This window comes from Homo sapiens, chromosome 1 (genome assembly GCF_000001405.40).
Source record: "Homo sapiens chromosome 1, GRCh38.p14 Primary Assembly".
Lineage (NCBI taxonomy): Eukaryota > Metazoa > Chordata > Mammalia > Primates > Hominidae > Homo > Homo sapiens.
The window spans coordinates 3481301-3497904 of NC_000001.11; the positions used below are offsets into that span (position 1 = coordinate 3481301).

The 16604-nt window shown below is 59.2% G+C and overlaps 1 protein-coding gene across 23 annotated transcripts in view, besides 6 other annotated features; it reads right to left on the minus strand.

Moving 5' to 3' along the window:
• Window positions 1795-2630: an enhancer, noted in NCBI's record as "H3K27ac-H3K4me1 hESC enhancer chr1:3399659-3400494 (GRCh37/hg19 assembly coordinates)". NCBI's record gives its function as "activates a minimal SCP1, AML or CMV promoter by ChIP-STARR-seq in primed H9 embryonic stem cells {active_cell/tissue: H9 hESC(primed)}" and the evidence as "EXISTENCE:reporter gene assay evidence [ECO:0000049][PMID:30033119]".
• Window positions 2631-3465: an enhancer, noted in NCBI's record as "H3K27ac-H3K4me1 hESC enhancer chr1:3400495-3401329 (GRCh37/hg19 assembly coordinates)". NCBI's record gives its function as "activates a minimal SCP1, AML or CMV promoter by ChIP-STARR-seq in naive and primed H9 embryonic stem cells {active_cell/tissue: H9 hESC(naive and primed)}" and the evidence as "EXISTENCE:reporter gene assay evidence [ECO:0000049][PMID:30033119]".
• Window positions 6651-16604, minus strand: part of MEGF6 (multiple EGF like domains 6) — a 136836-nt gene continuing 126882 nt past the window's right edge. For 12 of the 23 annotated variants that reach the window (XM_047448229.1, XM_047448220.1, XM_047448232.1 and 9 more), the window contains 10 exons: window positions 15933-16061; window positions 15355-15483; window positions 14590-14718; window positions 13313-13441; window positions 13071-13199; window positions 12696-12824; window positions 12471-12599; window positions 11339-11467; window positions 9612-9659; window positions 6651-9289 (listed from right to left, as the gene is read on the minus strand). In XM_047448229.1, the coding sequence (XP_047304185.1) occupies window positions 9228-9289; window positions 9612-9659; window positions 11339-11467; window positions 12471-12599; window positions 12696-12824; window positions 13071-13199; window positions 13313-13441; window positions 14590-14718; window positions 15355-15483; window positions 15933-16061 (1142 nt within the window). In that variant the 3' untranslated portion in view covers window positions 6651-9227. The other 11 variants (XM_017000533.3, XM_047448217.1, XM_047448204.1 and 8 more) reach the window with 4 other exon arrangements.
• Window positions 10001-10050: a silencer, noted in NCBI's record as "silent region_119". NCBI's record gives its function as "represses an Ori minimal core promoter by ATAC-STARR-seq in GM12878 lymphoblastoid cells {active_cell/tissue: GM12878}" and the evidence as "EXISTENCE:reporter gene assay evidence [ECO:0000049][PMID:35858748]".
• Window positions 10071-10200: a silencer, noted in NCBI's record as "silent region_120". NCBI's record gives its function as "represses an Ori minimal core promoter by ATAC-STARR-seq in GM12878 lymphoblastoid cells {active_cell/tissue: GM12878}" and the evidence as "EXISTENCE:reporter gene assay evidence [ECO:0000049][PMID:35858748]".
• Window positions 10320-10845: an enhancer, noted in NCBI's record as "H3K27ac-H3K4me1 hESC enhancer chr1:3408184-3408709 (GRCh37/hg19 assembly coordinates)". NCBI's record gives its function as "activates a minimal SCP1, AML or CMV promoter by ChIP-STARR-seq in primed H9 embryonic stem cells {active_cell/tissue: H9 hESC(primed)}" and the evidence as "EXISTENCE:reporter gene assay evidence [ECO:0000049][PMID:30033119]".
• Window positions 10846-11370: an enhancer, noted in NCBI's record as "H3K27ac-H3K4me1 hESC enhancer chr1:3408710-3409234 (GRCh37/hg19 assembly coordinates)". NCBI's record gives its function as "activates a minimal SCP1, AML or CMV promoter by ChIP-STARR-seq in primed H9 embryonic stem cells {active_cell/tissue: H9 hESC(primed)}" and the evidence as "EXISTENCE:reporter gene assay evidence [ECO:0000049][PMID:30033119]".

The following is a 16604-nucleotide window of genomic DNA, read 5'->3' on the forward strand; positions in this document are numbered from 1 at the left end:
ACTGGAGCAGGGCCAGCGGCCCCTGATCGTGTACTGAGAAGCCAGGGGCGGCACAGCTGCGCCTTGCAGGGCCCAGGCTGGCCAGTGGTTTAGAGGACTCCGGGATTCAGTAGAGCTTTTGGGGATCCCTCTGCAGTGTCCCCAGGGTTGGAGACAGGCCCCACCTCCCTCCCAGTTTTTCCTCCCAGCCATCTCGTCCTGGGAGCTGCAGGCAGAAGAGGCAGTCCCTGAGCCAGTCGGCTGACCTGGGGTGGCACAGCAAGAGGAGGACTGGTCCTCTCTGTCCCAGGAAGCCCCCACCAGCCCTCCTGTGTCCGACGCCAATGCCCGTTGCCTTTGTGGGCTTGGGTAATGCTGTCCTCAGGGAGGGAGCACCCAGCATACACCTGAGAATCTGCCCTGATCCTCCTGGGTCTGGGGCCCTGGCTTCTGCAGGAAAGTCAGGGGTGCATCTACCCCATATGCCAACCAGAAATGGTGATAGGAGACTGCCCTCCACCCCTCCCAGGCTTGGGGCAGCTGCAGGACCTGGTGCATGAGAGGTGGGGTGGGCTGAAAGAACACGCTGCTCCCAGCCCCCGCCTGCTGGACCAGGGCTTAGGGGAGGAGGCGAGGTCTGGAGGGCCGTGCAGTGCGAGGAGGGCCAGCTCCTCTCCCGGTCACCTCCATGGCCTTGGGCAGCAGCAATGGCCCAGTCCAGGCTCGGAGCCCACGCAGGACTGTCCTGGGCAGGGCTTTGGTCAGCGGCCGCCTCGCAGGGCGGGGCACAGCCAGGGCTCTGGGAAAGAGGAGGCACCTGGGAGCAGAATCCCCTGAGATGGGGCCAGCTCCTCCACGCCCAGCGTGGCATCTCCAGCCTCCGCTGTCCTGCCTGTGAACTGGTTACTCCCTGGGCTTTTCCTGGAGCTCCTGTGGGAGCAAACTGGCAGCCAGGGCAGGGCATGTGTGTTGGCAGGTGGTGTGTGCATGTGTGCTAGCATGCCTGTCTCTGTGTGTGCGTGTGTGTTGGGGGGCGGGGGGGCGGGTAGCCAGGGGGCAGCAGTTTCGTGTAAACCCAGCTGCCCTGCAGCCTCCGGGCGGTTCTCACTGCCAAGTTCATGCTCAGCTCACGGAGCAAGGCGGATCTGGAAAGCCTGGCCTCTGACTCTGTGACCTCACTCTCACGTATGTGACCTGGGGCAGGTGACTCAGCCTCTGCGCCTCAGTTCCGTCTGCAAGTGGCTACAGCAGCCTCTGCGTTTTAGCGGGCAGTGAGAATGCTCAGCCTGCAGGGAGGGGGTCCGGGCCCAGGCTGGGTGGCTGTCCTGCTATGGCAGTGGCCAGGCTGTTGTTGGGGGCATCTGGGGCAACCTGGGGAGGGCCCAGTTCAGGCCTGCTCAGGACGAGAGCCCCTCCCGGCAGAGTCAGGAAGCGCAGGCCTGGGCTGCCAGTGAGGTGTGGGCCCAGGCAGGGGCGAGACCTATGGGCAGGAGGGGCGTCAGGAGAGGGGGCCACAGGCTTGTGTAGCCCCGTCCCCAGCACCAGTGCCAGCTCACGCCCGTCCGAGGGCCCCTGCTCAGCCTGGGGTGCCGCCTTCACTGGCCCAGGTGCTATGGCCCCCTCAGCAGGACAGAGCCAGCCTGGACCCCCAGGACGATCACCCCCTCCCCGGGGTCTTCTTGCTCACTCTCCTCATGGAACCTCAGCCTGTCCCGTACTTCCAGTGTTGGGGTCCAGGGACACTTCCCCGCCCACAGTCAGATAATAGGGCTCCTGCGGGGGCTCTGCCACACGGGCTCAGCTGGAGAGGGGTCCCAGGAGACAGACAGGGCTTACCTTGCTCAGCCCTCCTGTGCAGCCACATAGCCTGGGTAGCTCTCTGGCTGCACAGACCCTCCTGTTGCAGGGGGTGAAACTGAGGCCCAAAGACCCTCTTCCCACTGCAGGGGGCTATCAGGGCTCTAAAGACACCCGTCTAGCCAACAAGGCCTGTGCCCCGAGTAGGTTGCCAGGGTGCCCACAGTGCTTGGTGTCCCAGCCCATCCTTCAGGCCATTGTTGGCCTGGGGTGCTGTGGGGGCTGTGTGGATGCAGGGCAGTGGGAGGGGGCTGCTGCTGAGGCCTTGCGCCCAAGCCCTGTCCCCAAGGCCACCCTGGGCAGGATAGCCCAGGCCGAGGGCTGGGGTTCATCTTGGCAAACTTCAGTGCCCAGCCCTGGGCGGGCACAGAGTGGACACTGCTGGGTCCAGACAGGCACCACCTAACCTTTCCTGCGGCCAGGGGAGCAAGGGGGGTGTGGTTCACAGGAGCACAGAAGCCACGCGGGAGTGGCCGCCCCAGCTAGGCCGGGACAGCCATCAGACTCGACAGGCCACCGGTCCCTCCGTCCAGCCAGAGATGGGACAGGCCACCAGTCCCTCTGTCCAGGCACGGAGTTGGGTCTGTCACCTTGCAGGTCCAGAGCCCCACCGTGAGCACATCCCTCCATCCCACCCCCGTGTCCCCGCCACCCCGTCCGGTGTGCCATGTGTATCCTCAGCCCACAGAGCCCCTGCTGCTGTCCTGTGACCGGGAATTTGTACACAGGGTGCGCACTCACATGACCTCATCCTAGTTCCTGCTGTTGCCCAACCACGTTTTAGGATCTATCTGAGCGGCTCTGCTCATCTTTCCCCTCCGGAACATTCCAGAACATGCCCCACCCTGGCGGTGTCCTCTGCAGGGACTCCCCTTCCCCAGCCTGCCGCACACCTTCCTCTCACGCCACCTGGTGTCTGGCAGAGGCACTGCTGGCCGGGCCCCGGGGCCTCCGATGACCGGACTGCCGCCGGCTCCAGGGCTGGCCCTGGGACCCCGGCGGTTCATGGGGGGTCCTCACCCCACATTTACTCAGAGCCCTTGGCCTCCAACTTTTGCTGGTGGGCGTAAGCCGTAGACCGGTGTTTTGATGTGCAGATCTCTGGTCTTCGCGAGATGGGCCTTCTCCGTACACTTGGCCTTGGCTGTGGGGTCTCCGTGAATTCTGCCCATCTCCTCCCCTCTCCGGCTCGGCTCGGTCCTCCCTTCTCCGGCTCGGCTCGGTCCTCCTCTGGCTCGGCTCGGTCCTCCTCTCTCTAGCTCAGCTCTGCCATTCTTGACCCCAGACCTTTGTCCATTTCAGACATGGCAGGTTGCCCACCAGATGCCACCTGTGGGCTCTGTCGCTGGGCCTTTCCAGCAAACTGGAATGCATCTGACATAGCTGGGAAGTGACATTTTTTCATGTCACATTTGCCTTCCAGTTGTCATTTGTCAGGCCTTTTGAGGTCTTTATAAACTGTATCAGAAGAATTGAAAGAATCCAGAAATTCTTTCGCCAGATACATTCCCGTAGATTTCCAGGTTTTATTGCCATGTTGAACGGTGTCTTATTTTGTAGTTTTCTTGTCAGTTATTGTTGGTGTTGAAGCACTATCGATGTTATAGGTTTTATACATGTTGTACATTTTCCATGCTTTATAGGATTTTATTGCCAACCTTGCTGAATCCTTATCATCAGCTATAGCAATGTCTGTTAGCCCTTTGGGGTTTTCCGTGGAGATAATCCTGTCCCCTGAGAACCACGGCAGGTGTGTCTTCCCCTGAGATCCTTATACCTCAGTTGCTTCTCCTCATCTGAAGATACTGCCTGCTGGGGCGGTGGGGGGCAGTGAGGCTGATGCAGGCATCTTCTGATTTGACTTTATTCACTCCTGTGACGACACTCACCGCGCTCTACCCAGGTCCGGTTCCAGGTGGTCCAGGTATACAGCGAAGCCCCTGCCTCCCGAGTTTGTGCTCTGATGGGGAAGGCCTAGCACAGACATGGGATGTCACGGCAGGGCTCTGAAGAGCAGAAGGCTGGGAGGAGGTATAGCAGGACCAGACGACTGTCACCCCAGTGGGCACGGCAGGCCCCGCTGGGCGGCATCTTTTGCACAGACCTGAATTCATCGGTTTCTCCCCTGAACATGACTCTTGCACCTAACCACTATCAAAAGAGGTCCTTTCTCAGGTTTCCAAGAATGCCTATCCCAAACAGGCATTGAACTCTGTCCAACGTTCTTCCTGCTGCCATCAATACAGTCATCTGATTTCTCTTCTCACCCAAATGCACCGACGCATTTTCTGATGTGAAACCGTCCTTGCATTCGATCCAGTCCATTCGGTCAGGCCAGTGTTCTTGGTAAAATACTCTTATTTGGATAGCTAATATTTGATCTAGGATTTTTGCCTACATGGAATGAGTCTGCAGTTACTTTACTTGTTACTGTCCTCTCTTGGTTTTAGAGCCAAGTTTCCGCTGCCTTTGTGGGATGAGGTGAGCTGTTTTTCCTCCATTTAAAATTTCTGGGCCAGGTGCAGTGGCTCACGCCTGTAATCCCAGCACTTTGGGAGGCCGAGGCGGGCGGATCATGAGGTCAAGAGATCGAGACCATCCTGGCTAACACAGTGAAACCCCGTCTCTACTAAAAATAAAAAAAAGTTAGCTGGGCGTGGTGGCGGGCACCTGTAGTCCCAGCTACTCAAGAGGCTGAGGCAGGAGAATGGCATGAACCCGGGAGGCGGAGCCTGCAGTGAGCTAAGATCGAGCCACTGCACTCCAGCCTGGGCGACAGAGCGAGACTCTGTCTCAAAAAAAAAAAAAAAAAAAAAAAAAAAAAAAAAAAAATTTCTGGAACGAGTCCTGGTTGACAAATGTATGGTATACACCTGGTGTAACCATGCATGCTACAGCTGTGCCAGGATTCCTGGGGCTGAGCGGAGGGAAGGAGCGGCTCTCCCACGGCTCTTCGCCTCTTCTTAGGCCACTGCCTGATTCGCATTTTTAACCTCCGTTTACACCAGTCTCGGCATTTTTCCCCCAGTTTATCATTTTTCTAAGTGTTTTCCAAGTTATTGGTACATAGCTGCTCATAATTTTTATACCTTCTTCTCTATTGTGTTTGTAGTTAACTCTTGTGTATTTTTTTCTCTCGTGTTTAAAAAATCAGTCTTGCAAGGTGCTTTCTTGCTTCTTAGTCTTCAAAGAAGGAAATTTCGGTTTTCTTAAGCGTTCCATTATTCTGCACCTGCTGAATGTAAAGTTTATACACAGAAATGTAAGTGTGAGTATCACTTATCATCAGAGAAATGTGAATTAAAGCCACGAGGCCGAGTGCAGTGGTTCGCACCTGTAATCCCAGCACTTTGGAAAGCTGAGGCAGTCAGATCACATGAGCTCAGGAGTTCGAGACCAGCCTGGGCAACATGGCAAAATCCCATCTCTACAAAAAGAAAATACAAAAATTAGCTGGGCGTGGTGGCTTGCACCTGTAGTTAGCTTCCTGGGAGGCTAAAGTGGGAGGATTGCTTGAACCCTGGAAGCGGAGGTTGCAGTGAGTCGAGATGGCGCCACTGCACTCCAACACGGGTGGCAGAGTGAGACCCTGTCTCAAAAAATAAAAATAAAAATAAAACCACAATGAGATATCATCTCACACCGTCAGAATGGCTATTATTAAAAAGTCAAAAATATAACATGTTGAGGATGCAGACAAAAGGGAATGCATATACACTGTTGGTGGGAATGTGAACTCACTTAGCCTGTATGGAAAATGTTATGGTTTTTCTCAAAGAACTAAAAATGGAACTCCCATTCCATCCAGCAATCACACCACAGGGCACCTGCACAAATGAAAGGAATTCATTATATCAAAAAGATGCTCACACTTATGTGTTTATCACAGCACTGTTCACACGAGCAAAGATATGGAATTAACCTGTGTCCATCAGTGGATGACTGGATAAAGATGTGTGTGGAGGTGTGTGTGTGTGCACGCATGTGTGAGTTTTACATATCATATATATATATATATATATATATATATATATATATATATATCTGCATTCCATGTAGTACGGACATGCAGTATTGCATGCACACACACCATGGACGACTACTCAGCCATAAAGAAGAATGAAATCATGACTGTTCCAGCAACATGGATGGAACTGAAGACCACTATCTTAGGTGAAATAACTCAGAAACAAAGTCAAATACTGCATGCTCTCCCTTATATGTGGGAGCTAAATAACGTGTACAGACAGACAGAGAGGGGAATAACAGACATTGGAGACTGGAAGGGTGGGAGGGTGGCAGGGAGGGATGAGAAATTACTTCATGGGCAGAATGTACACTACTCAGTAATGGTAACACTAAAGCCCAGACTCTTCCACCATATGCTATGTCCATGTAACAAAACTGCATGTGTACCCTGTAATTTTATAAATGTTGTTAAGCTGAAAAGGTGTGTGTATGTGAACACAGTAAACATGTAAGTATAAACACAGATGTACCGTGTGTGTGCAAGCTTATTCAGGTTACCATTGCTATGTCTTACTTGCTTAAACTATTGGTTTTTGTAAAGTGCACGTTCAAATCACCCATGACAGCTATTTCTACCTGCTCTATCCATCACTGCTGGATGAATGTTCGAGCCTCATTGTTGGGTGCGTGTATGTGTATGTATATTTACAGACTGTTACGATGCTTCTTACCCTGAAATATTCAAACGCCTGCCCTAATTCTCCTTTGGTTTACTCTGCATGTCTGTGTTTCTACCCTTTGAAGCATGTCTTTTATAGTAAAAATACTATTTAGTATATTTTTAATGCAGTCTAGTCTGTTTTTAATGATGTTTTTAATTGACAATAATTGTAGATATTCATCGGATACACAGTGATGTTTTGATACATGGGATGTCTAGTGATCAAATCAGGGTAATGAGCATATCATCATCTCAAGCGTTTATTATGTGTGTTGAGAATGTTCAATATCCTCCTTCTTGCTGCTTGAAACTATATAATATATGGTCAGGAGTTTGTTTTTCCGTCGTCATTTGTAACCGTTAACATTAGGATCTGTGAGCGTGTTTTCTAGTTATTCTGCTTTATTTTCCTCTGCTCCTGACCGCCGTTGGATAGCTGAGATTTCCTCCGGATGGGCAGAAGCTCGGCCTGCCTTATGGCTTCCGTAGCTGAACACTGTGTCTTCACTGAGCGGGATGAGTGATTGGTACCTGCCAGGCCCCCCGTCCACACCCTCACACCATGCTGAGACTGTCGGGGGTTCCCATTGGGGAGTAATGGTGATATTCTGACTCTCTGAATTCCTAGGCCATTTGGGAACTGTGGTGACTGAATATCTCAGAGCACCCTCCTGGCTTCTTTCTCTTCTGGCTGGAGAACGTCTCTAAGAGCATTTTAAAATCAGGCTTTTCTGTAGAAAAATGGCCGAGGCCTTGAAGGCCTAAGAATAACATGGACTTTGCATGCCTTTGATAGTTTAGCTGGATGTAAAATTCAGCCTTCAAATATTTCCTTCAAACTCTGAGGATGGAACATCACAGTTTTCTGGCTCTCCGTGTTTCTCACGTATAGTCTGAGGTCAATTTGATTCCCATTCTTTTTTCTCTGGGACTTTAGAATTTATCTTTGACATTGATGTTCTTCAAGGTCTTATGGCTTTTTTATGTTATTTTTCCACCTTGTGCATTTCCAGGCTGACTGAGATCATTCACCTTTAGATCTGAGAACGTCTTGGTCGTCGTTGCTTCATGTCAATGACTTCTTACTTTTGTATTTTGCAGTTAGATGGATGTGAATGAACACCTCCCTTACCCATTTCCATTCATCTATCTCTGTACGTTGTCTCTCTTTACGCCTCCCTGCTATTCCTGGGAGAATCTCCTGAGCTGTATCCACTCACCCCATCTGCTGGATGCTTCATTTCAAGGTATGCGTTTTCCACACTCCGTCTGCACCCCAGTCCGTCTCTCTCTGGCTGCTGCTTCTGCATCCCCACCATCCTGCCCTCCCTTATCACTGTTCTACTTTAAAGTCTCCCCACAGCGGTCCATTCATCAGCTTCCTCTGTGACAGCTCCCTTGCTGTCTGTGAGCAACCAAGCTCACTGGACTCCTCCTCCTCCTGCTGGTGAAATTGTCTGCCCTGGGGCCTCAGCTACCTTGGCTGGTTTTAGGGTGATGGGGGCGGCAGCCCAGACCCTAAGGGGGCCTTCTTAAGGGAGAGAGAGTCCTATGTTGCGGTGTGAGTGCAGCCCTCTCCATTGGCCACCCCACTCTGCAGAGGAGCCCCCAGCCACCACCTCTACCCTCTGCCTCTTCCTTCCACTCTGGGCCCTTCTTCCAGGAGAAGTCAGCCTCAGCCCATGAGTGCCAGGTGCTCGGGAGGGCTGGTCTGTCCTCACCCAGGGAGTCCCTGCCCCTGCGATGCTGCCCTCCCCCCACTGCTGATGCTCAGGTAGGGGTGGGTGGGGTGAGCCCAAGGGAGTTCGGCCTCAGTCCAGGTTGCCCCTCCACACCAGCCCTCCTCCCCCTGGGCCATTCTCTGGGAACAGCCAGTCTCTGGGTCTCAGCGGTAATGAATGCAGCCCCAGCGTTCTCCTCAATAGCACTGGGAACTGAGATGAGTCCCAACTTCTTCACTTGTGTGGCACCCCCACCCCTGCAAAGGGCCCCGGGTGCACTGGGAGGTCCCTGGGTGCACCGTTATGCTGGCCGGGCCCCAGGGAGGAGCCCACACAGAGTCCACGTAACACAGCAAACACACAGGCCACGAGGAGGTTGCCTGCTCCTTTACCTTCCTAGGTTTACATGGTACCGGAGCCAGCAGCCTGGTGAGCCCGCAGGAGCCTGCAGACCTGAATCAGGGTTTCTGGGGATTGGGCAGGAGATGACAGGCAGCTTCCAGCTGATCCCAGGGCTGCAGCGGGCATGTGCAGTGGCCCATAAATACCTTTACATAAATACGGGCTGGGCGACTTCCAGTCCCAGGGCCTAGCACCAAAAAGCCTGCCTGGAGGACAGTGGCCCTGTGCCTGCACCTGCGCCTGCACCCACACTGGCGCCCACACCTGTCCTCAGTCCAACTCAGAGCCGCGGGGAGAGCGGGACTTCCTCAGCCCAGGCCCAGAGCGTGCCCCTGGGTTCTGCAGAGCCAGGCCAGGAGGCGCCTCTCTTCCAGCGGCCATGCGAGGCTTCCCTCCTCAAGGCCACACCAGCCTCCAAGAGCGACAGGTTGCTGGGCTGTCCACAGCCCTCCACGGCCCTCAAAGGAAGGGCAGTACCAGGAGCTCTGGGCCCGTGAAGTGTCCTTCTCAGTGGTCACCAAAGGCCAGGGTCCCCTCTGGCTGGGACTGGAGAGGCGGGCTCCACGGGACTGCCTCTACTAGTGCCTCGCTGGTCCACCGCTCCGGGATGTGGGTCTGCTGGAGGCGGGCAGTGTGCCCGCTGGGGAAAAGGAGAAAAGAGGGCCAGTCCAGGGTGGGGCGGGTGCTCCCAGAACAGACTGGGTTCTGGGTTGGCACCTCTCCCTCCCACCCCTCCCTTCAGCAGCTCAGCCCAGCAGGTGGGTGGGGCCCACCCATCCTTCCCAGCCTGTCCTTCCCAGCTCTGGCCCCAGCCTTGGTCTCTGAGCTCCAGATTCCTGGGGCCCAAGGCCCCGGGTGCAGCTGCTGCCCTGTGGGGCCCAGATTATACTTAAGCACTCTTCGTTGACTTTGCCATAACCCACCCTCCTGGCAAGCCCACGGGCATTCCCCACACCCCTTACCTGAGCCCTGGGCTAAGGACGGGTTCTCGGGGAGCCGGAGGGGCCCACCTGGAGGGGAGAGAGAGCAGGCCATGTTAGTACCCCCAGCCTTGAGTGAGCCACAGTAATGGCAGCAAGGCGTGACCCCATCCAGGCCTTCAGGGACCTCCACTTCCCCCGCACAGTCTCCTTCCCTTCTCAGTCCTTTGCACTCGGGGAAGGAACGGGGGCGGGAGCTGGGGGGGGGGGCTCTCCCTCTCCCCATAGGAAAGCTCTCAGCCCCTCCAAGCCTCTACTACCCGCGACATCAGGGGCTTTACCGAACGCCAAGCCAAGTCCACTCCAGGGGAGGGCGCAGGACCCAGGACTCCCCACGCCCAGCAACACACTGCCCATGGGGCCCCAGGCTCCTGAGGCCTCCAGCTCAATGTCAAGGCACTGCCCCCGGCACCCGGCACCCAGCGCAGGTGCCGGCAGCCGGCGGTGCAGTACCACAGATGACCACTAGATGCCGCTGCCGGGCAGCCTTTTGTCCCTGCACCAGCGCACAGGCTGCTGCCCCGCCCCTCCTCTCCTCGCCCCGCCCCGCTCCACCGAGATGGGGGCTCCCCTGTCTTAAGGCTCTGAACAATCTGCAGCCAGGACTGCCTTAGAAAGGCACAAACAGATGCACACATACACAAAGTCAAGACTATTTGGGGGCCTCCAAGCGGAGGACCCCAAGTGTGAAATCCCCAGTTAGCCAAAAAGCAGAGCCTGCAGCCTGGCGCCCGGCCTTTGCCCCGCCCACATGTCTTGCCCCGCACAGGCCCCAAGCCTGCCTCCCACTTCCCTCTGCAGAGACAACCTTTCCCAACACCGCTGGGGGGTACACGGTGCGGGGGTGGGGGGGGGGGTGCGGGCAGCAAAGTCTGGGCTGGCCAGAGGGGTGGGGGCATCCCAAAAGCACTGCCTGCAGGCAGAGAGCACATTCCAGGACAGCCTCAGGGTCCTGAAGGTGGTGCTAAGGAGCCACCCTCACACAGGTGCTGGAGCACGCTCACACATGCCCGGCACACACGCCTGTGCCCCCTGCCGCACATGCATGCACTATTGCGCAGACGCACTGGCTACATTCACACACTGATGCACACGTAACACACAGGCACTGGCACGCACAGGTGCCTGCTGCCTGTGCAGGACTGCGTGCGTGGACTGGCACGCACAGGTGCCTGCTGCCCGTGCAGGACTGCGTGCGTGGACTGGCACACACTGGGTGCCACACACATGTACTGGCACACATGCACACACACCCTGCTGTACGCACTGTTGCACGTGCGTGCACAGACACACCCTCACACCCTGGTGCACGTGTATGGGGGGCAGGAGGGGCAGGGATGGCCAGCGTCCATCCACACTGTGGATGGTCCAGCCCAGCCATGGGGTCATGACCCTCTTCAGGCCCCCGGTGCAGTTTGCAGCCCACCCTTGCAGCTGTTGGGGCTGGGAAAGATGGGCTGTTTCCAGCTGGCAGCATGGCCCACCCCTGTCCCCTGGTTAAGTGACTGTGAAGCTCACACTCCACCCATCAGAAGCCAAGTGACACTCTGGGTACCGGGTGGGGACAGATGACATTCGCTATGTCTGAATAGCCATAGGGTGACCCGGCCAACTCCGCAGTGGGTGAGAGAGGGATCCTCTGCCAGGGTGGAGCTGAGGCTGATTGGGGGATGGTGCCTTCCCGCCCTTCCCCAGGAAGCCCAGCTCACCTTCCCGGCACGTGGGCCCCATGTAGCCATCCACACAGTGACACTGCCCACTGACAGGGTCGCAGTCAGCCCCACCCCCGCAGTCACAGTGCAGGGTGCAGCTGGGCCCAAACTGGCCCCTTCTGCAATCTGCAAGGCGGAGGGGGCGGGAGACAAACCTGAGCATCATCCTTGCCTTCCCCGCGCCAAGGAGCCTGGGCCTAGGGGCCCGCGGCAGAGCCCAGGTGGAGTGAAGCCTTCTGCCTGGGTGTGTGCGGGAGCTAAGACCTTGGGCCTCGGTTTCCCCTGAGGAGTAAACAGTCCCTGCCCTGCCTTCCTCAGCTACATTCTGCAGCCAGTGAGCTCCTGCATGAGAAAGCCCAGGCCCCAGGCACACGTCCAGAGTCACCACCGAGTTCCTGCCCCGCCCCAGGAGGGCAAACAGGAGCCAGTGTTCAGGGATGCCCCCTCAGGGCACAACAGGCCTGAGAGCCACAAGGCCAGGTAAGCAGCCCCAGCAGGTGAGCCCCTCCTATCCTCAGGTGGGTCCCTCCTATCCTCAGGTGAGCCCCTGCTATCCTCAGGTGAGCCCCTCCTATCCTCAGGTGGGTCCCTCCTATCCTCAGGTGAGCCCCTCCTATCCTCAGGTGAGCCCCTCTTATCCTCAGGTGAGCCCCTCCTATCCTCAGGTGGGTCCCTCCTATCCTCAGGTGAGCCCCTGCTATCCTCAGGTGAGCCCCTCCTATCCTCAGGTGGGTCCCTCCTATCCTCAGGTGAGACCCTCCTATCCTCAGGTGGGGCCCTCTGGGCTGGAGGGGCCACAGCCCCCTTGATGTCCCCCAGTCCACAGCTGGCAGATCAGGGAAGTCTTTCCACCCAACCAGAGCCCCCTCCCATGACCATGGCCTTCCTGGGACGTTGTGGGGGCCACACGGCAGGGCCTGGCCTAAGGCTCCAGCAGGAGGGCCATGCTTGGTACCGCATGTCCCAGCAGCTGACTCCAGCCCCCCCAGGGGGCACAGTCCAGGTGCAGAGGCAACAAGAGGGGTTGGTGGCCAGCCCAGGACTGGCACAGGTAGGGCCCAACCAATCAATATTGGTCACTGATGGAGACCCACACCCACGCCCTTCCTGGGCAGGACCCCAGACTCACCCAGGTTACAGGTGGCTCCTGAGCGCCCTGGTGGGCAAAGGCAGAGACCGGTGACAGGGTCACAGGGTGCCCCCCCGTCACAGTCACAGCGCTGGTGGCAGCCCTCTCCAAATGAACCTGGCTCACACCCTGGTGGGGGCAGTGGGCTCAGTGTCCCCCTCCTGTCCTGCACCCAGACGGGACGGGGCCAGGGAGCGGGGGTTCAGGGAGGCACCAAGCACTCACCCCTCTCACAGAAGTGGCCGTGGAAGCCGGCAGGGCAGAGGCATCGGCCACTGATGGGGTCGCAGGGGGCTCCATGTTGACACCAGCACAACCCCTGGCAGCCAGCCCCGTGGAAGCCAGGGGGACAGGCTGAAGGACGCCGGTTACCACGAGACAAGGGCACACGGTGGCAGAAATGTCCAGTTTGCCCAGAGTGAGTAAAACCCGCCAATCCAGGGGCCCGAGAAAAGCCCCCTCCTGCCCGTCCTCGTCCCTCCCCACTGCTGCTGGCTCCCCACCTCCCCACCACTTCACTGCTGCCTGGATCACCCACACGGGAGGAGTGGACAGTGGCTCAAAGGGGCCCCAGCCCAGCTGCACAGGCCCCCAACTCACGGTGCTCGCAGGCCTGGCCATAGAAGCCGGGGCCGCAGCGGCAGGTGCCCGTGGCAGGCTCACACGTGCTGTTGTTGTGGCAGGAGCACTCCAGATGGCAGGCGGCTCCGTAGCGCCCAGGGGGACAGGCTGGGGACAGGGCAGGGTGGGCAGTCCTTCGGCACCAGCCTTGCCCAGCCCTATGGCAGCCCAGGGCACCTCCCTGAGGGGATGCTGGGGTCCCGCTGGCCCCGCACACTCACCCAGCTCGCAGTGCCGCCCCGTCCAGCCCAGGCCACAGGAGCAGCTGCCGTTGCTGGCGTGGCACAGGCCCCCATTTCTGCAGGAGCAGGTGTGCTCGCAGCCCACGCCAAACCGGTTCTGGGGGCAGCCTGGAGACAGAAGGCAGGTGCTGCCTGGAGCTCTGGCCGAGGGCTGGGCTCCCTCTGGGGATATGTCCCCACAGGCTGACAGTCACTCGGTAAATGCTTCCTGAGGCCCATCAGTGCCAGTCTCTGCCTGCTGGGCGGGCACATGCCAGGGAGTGGCACCAGCCGCATCCTCTCATTCCTTGGTCATCTCAGGCTGCCAAGTGCCAGGCCTGGTCTAGGAACTGAGGGTGGCTCAGTCATGAAGGGGCTGGGTGAGCGCCTGCCCAGCCTGCAGGAAGGGGTTCACAGAAGGCTTCACGGAGGCAGCGGCCCACTGTGAACCAGCTGTCTCCCGCTTGGGAGTGAAGGCACATCCTTCAGGCCTGAGAAGTAGCGTGGCTGGGCTGCCGTGGGCTCAGAGGTGGCTGGCTGTAGCCCTGCTGTTACAGCCGGATGCCTGATGACCGGCCTGATGGCACTATCCTTCCTGGGAGTGAGGCGGGGCCAAGCTACATCCCAGCTGGGGCCTGAGCCCTGGGATCCTGAACCCTCTGCTGCCACAGGCTCCCAATGAGCCCAGAAGGCCAAGAACTGCTGTGGGGGCAGCCAGTCCCTTGATGCAGACTAAGGGTGGGACCAGGCCAAGAGGCTGTGGCTGTGTTCATGAGCACTGGGCCTGTCTGAGCAGGAGCCACTACGCCTGTCCCCTGGGTCCAGCCCATCTCTCTACTCTTGACTGTGCTCTAGGCCCACTTCCACTTTGGTCCCTGAGCCCTGGGCCTGGCAGAAAGGGCCAGAAGGACTCCACCCTCGGGCAGAAGACAGCCACCCAATCCCTTCTGCAAGGGGCCAGGCAGGCGCTGGGTAGGAACCTGCAGCCCCCACGGCCACCTCTATGAGGATGGGGTCACTGGGTGGCCTGAGCCTCGGGGGCTGAGTGTCGAGGTAGGGGCTGGGGTGGCATGGGACGGTCCATTCCCCCAAGCAGGGCAGCGTAGTCAACACAAGCTACAGCACTCTCATCTCAGCCCCAGGGTCAAGTGGGGAGCTGGTGGCAGCCAGGATGTGCGGGTGTCTGGGCTGGGCCCACCCCTCCAGTGTCCCCACGGCTAATCCAGTGACATCTCTGTGAAGGGCCTGTGAGCATGCCCTCTGGAGTGAACACTCACCTCGCTCACAGCGGACGCCGGCTCTCCCCGGGGGGCAGAGGCAGGTGCCGGTCACAGGGTCGCAGGCCGCCCCCTGCCCACACCCACACACGTGGGTGCAGTTGGGGCCGAAGCGGCCCTGCGGACAGGCTGCCGGGGAGGAAGTGGTGATCGTGGCTGGCTTCCCTTCTCTCCCTGCCCGGTCAACCCCGGAGTGGGGATAGGACAGGATGGGATGGGGTGAGGGGACCCTGGGTCTGCCCCAGACAGGGTGGGGCCAGCCAACTCTCATGCACCCACCCTGGCATCTCCCTTCCACCCGCAGGCCTGCTGGGGGCCAGGCCACTGCCGCCTGCTCTGCAGTGACTCACTGCCACCCCCGCCCACCCCGCCAGCTCTGCTGGGGTCCCAGAAGGGGAAAGTCCCTGCATGACTGAGGGAAGAGGCCCGTTTCCCAGCAGGACGCTTGGCCACAGTTGAGCTGCCTGGCTGACCTCTGTGCCTGGCTGTGCTCAAGCCCCTGGCAGACATGGCGCAGGTCGCCGGGCACAGCAGGTGCAGGGGCAGAGCTAGCAGAAGCCTGTGGGACCTGGGGCCACATAGACACCCCCAGCGCTGCAGGTCCTTTCTGCCCCTCTGGCTTAGCCCCACTTGGGGCCAGGCCCAGCCAGAGGGGGCTGAAGGGCAGGGAGGTGGGCAGTCGGGGGCCATCCTCCTGCAGGCTGGCTGGCCCTACCCTGGAGACACAGGAGGCGCCACTCAGCACTGCTGCCACCAGCCACTCACTGAGGTTGCAGTCCGTCCCGAGGAACCCAGTGGGGCAGCGGCAGGCCCCCGTGGCCGCATCACAGGAGCCCCCGTTGAGACACCCACACAGCTGTTCACAGCCTGGCCCATACCGCCCGGGCGGACATCCTGCAGGGAGAGGGGCTAGCTGCAGGGGCTGGGGCTGGAGGCTTCCCCAGTGCCCCTGAACACAGCAAGGCAGCTCTCATGAGACCCCCACACCCTCCATCTTCCACCCCCTCAGATGAGGGCCTTCCCGGGGACCAGGGGAACTGGGGCCCAGCACGCCAGGCAGCACTGCCGAGTCCCTGGGTGGGCACGGGCAGCACTCACGTTGCTGGCAGCTGGGGCCGTGGTAGCCAGCAGCACATGAGCAGGTCCCGGTGGCAGGGTGGCAGGCCGGGTTCTCACCGGGACACTGGCACATCTGCGCACAGTCCTCCCCAAAGCTGCCGGGTGGGCAGGCTGGGTGGAGACAGGCAGGGTCGGTCCTGGCCCAGCCCCGCCAAGGAACAGGCAGCCTCTCTGGATTCCCCCTGCCCAGCCGCTCCTCGGGGTGGGGGCTTGGGAGCACCTACCCTGCTCGCAGCCGGAGCCAGTGAAGCCAGGGGGACAGCGGCAGGCCCCAGTGACGTGGTGGCAGGCAGCGCCAGGCGGGCAGCTGCAGCGCTGGGCACAGGCCTCTCCAAACCAGCCCCGCAGGCAGGCTGCAGAAAGATGAGGGCTGCGGAGGCTTCTAGGAGGGGCCCGTGGGGATCTGTGGGCCAGGACAGGCCGGGAGCAGGTGCTGTGGGTACGACCCACCCAATGCTGGCTGAACTGGGGGCTGTGCTCACCATTCTCACACCTGGAGCCCCCCGCCACCCCGGAGGGCAGAGGCAGGCCCCGGTGGCAAGGTGGCAGGGGCCTCCCCACCGGCAGGCACAGCGCCCCTCACAGTGAGGCCCGAATGTGCCCTTGGCACAGGCTGCAGGGACGAGACAGATAGGGCTGAGAGCTCAGCCTCTGGCAGCCCCGCCCCATGGAAGGCGAAGGAGCCGGGAGACAGCAGCCGGGGCTCAGCACTGAGGCGACGGGAGCCAGCGACAGCCCTGAGGCCAGCCGAGTGCCCAGGCCCCCCTCAGACAGCAGACCCAAGGCTCCTGACCTGAGCAAGGGACCGCCCAAGTTGTACCCCAAGCAGTGGGGACGGCGCCTCTGCTGGAAGGGGGGCTCGTGTTAGGGGCTTGGGTGGGAGGCCGGGGCTTTGA